The sequence below is a fragment of the Homo sapiens genome, chromosome 21 (assembly GCF_000001405.40).
Source record: "Homo sapiens chromosome 21, GRCh38.p14 Primary Assembly".
In the NCBI taxonomy this organism is placed as follows: Eukaryota; Metazoa; Chordata; class Mammalia; order Primates; family Hominidae; genus Homo; species Homo sapiens.
In genome coordinates this window covers 46,048,619-46,050,734 of record NC_000021.9, presented here as the reverse complement: position 1 = coordinate 46,050,734, position 2,116 = coordinate 46,048,619, and the positions used below count along the sequence as shown (strand labels likewise).

The 2,116-nt window shown below is 56.9% G+C and overlaps 2 annotated features.

Moving 5' to 3' along the window:
* Positions 1–711: an enhancer, noted in NCBI's record as "OCT4-NANOG-H3K27ac-H3K4me1 hESC enhancer chr21:47469938-47470648 (GRCh37/hg19 assembly coordinates)". NCBI's record gives its function as "activates a minimal SCP1, AML or CMV promoter by ChIP-STARR-seq in naive H9 embryonic stem cells {active_cell/tissue: H9 hESC(naive)}" and the evidence as "EXISTENCE:reporter gene assay evidence [ECO:0000049][PMID:30033119]".
* Positions 712–1,422: an enhancer, noted in NCBI's record as "OCT4-NANOG-H3K27ac-H3K4me1 hESC enhancer chr21:47469227-47469937 (GRCh37/hg19 assembly coordinates)". NCBI's record gives its function as "activates a minimal SCP1, AML or CMV promoter by ChIP-STARR-seq in primed H9 embryonic stem cells {active_cell/tissue: H9 hESC(primed)}" and the evidence as "EXISTENCE:reporter gene assay evidence [ECO:0000049][PMID:30033119]".

Sequence of the window (2,116 nt, the reverse complement as noted above, 5' to 3'; positions counted from 1 at the left end):
TCACTGTGCCTGGCGGCCCCTGCCCTGCTGTGCCTTGGCTGGGAAGAGCTTGTGCTTGTGGAGCAAAGTGGGGAGCGGTGTCTGCCTTCAACTGAGCATCGCCTGACCCCGGTCCATCTTATTTCCAAGCCTCAGGGGGTCTGATTCCAGAGCCGATGGGACCAGCCCAGTTCCGCACAAGCAGCTGTCGGCCTCGCCGTCCCCGTGCCACCTTGGAGGGCTGACAGTGTGTGTGACAGGGCTAGGCCCCTCTTTCCAGACCCCAGTGTCACCAGCCTGGCTCCCTGGGACAACGTGACGCCCCAATGAGAGAGGATGCCAAGGGCTGCCAGGGTGCGGCCAATGCTCCTGGCTTGTGGGTGACCTGGCCTCACTTCAGGGACCCAGCAGGGAAGCTGTCCACCAGCCGAGTTTGGAAAGCCTGCCCGGGATGGTCAGGGTGCCGTCCACTCGCCACTGTGCTCCGAGGACCCTCCCCAGAGAGCCCCGCTGTGGGCACAGTGAGTTCTGCGGTGGGCCCAGAGGATGGTTTCTCGATGGTGGGGGTCGCGGCGGCTGGAAGCCCTCCCGTACAAACACACTTCGTTCACTGGCCGCTTGGTGGAGGGTCCGCCATGAGGGCGCCGTTTCTTCACTCTCAGCCATGGGCTGTGCCTTGGAGCCCTGTCCTCCAGGTCAGACGCCCAGCGGACATTGGAGTGTTGACCTCCAGGGATGAGGGTGCCAGGTCCCAAGAGTCTGGGTCAGCTGCCGGGAGGTCTGGGGGTGCTGGGACCACAGCAGGATGGGAGCTGGCCAGGGGCCTGTCCCCCCGACCTCCTGTGTGTGGGACTTGGAAAGCTGACTGGGGCCTCCTATTCTTTAAAAAGAACCCAATCATCCATCACACCCCAGGAAGCCCTCTTCAAGCCCAGCAGGCATTTCCTGCTCAGGGCTGGGCTGTCTCCAGGTGTGCGTGCTGAGCGGAACGTTCTCCTGGCTGGAAAATGCGCGTGTTCACCTCATGCCTATGAACAACAGATCTATAGGAAGGGAAGAAGATCAATAAACAAATCCCCTCCCCCAGGAGGAAGCATTAGGCGATTACGCAAAGAACTGGTTTGATGAATTCCCTTGGAAGCAGTGGTACGCGTGTGTCATACGCTGTGGAATTGGCCTCCCCAGCCTCCTATTCAGCGTTCTCCTAACCCCCTGATAAGCAGCTGCAAAATGTGTCAGGCCAACGGGAGACAGGCCAAGTGTGGCCTCCGGCCCGTGTCTTCATCTTCTCAGGGCCTCTCCTAACTGTCCGGCGCATCTGCCTACATTTTCTCAGGAATTGGATCCGCAGATGTCTGGTTATGCAACTGCTTCCCATTTTCAGCCAGAGAAGTTACTCAAGTCGGTTTGGAGAGGAGCTTTGCACGGATTCGGCCAGCTGGGCTTAGTGAGAGGCCCTGGGGCTGTCTGGGACAGAGGAGGGAGGCAGTGCGAATGCCTCTTCCTGGCAACCGGAGCCAGGAAGCCTTTCCAGAGGCCACAGTCACCTTTTCCCAGGTGGTGCCGGAGGAGGAGGCCCTAACTGCTTTCGATGCAGGGGGCTGCCCCTTGAGCTGGGCCAACTGGGAGAAGGTGGACGGGGAGTTGGTCAGCAGGGTAGAGGGCATGGAGGGCGGTGGGTGCAGCTGTCAGGGACCACAAAGTTACAGCAAGCCCAGGAGGAGGTTAGAAAAGGAGGAGGGCTTTGAAGAATCATCTCTGGGGAGGTGCCGTTTACATACAGGAAGATGCACCCACTTAAAGTGTATAGCTTGATGAGTTCTGGCAAATTTATATAACTGTGTGACCATGAACACAATCAAGACAGAGAACATCCATCACTCCAAAAAGATCCCTCATATCATCAGTAACATCCATCACCCCAAAAAGATCCCTCATATCATCAGTAACATCCATCACCCCAAAAGACCCCTCATATCATCAGTAACATCCATCACCCCAAAAAGACCCTTCATATCATCAGTAACATCCATCACCCCAAAAAGACCCCTCATATCATCAGTAACATCCATCACCCCAAAAAGACCCCTCATATCATCAGTAACATCCACCACCCCAAAAAGACCCCTCATACCAT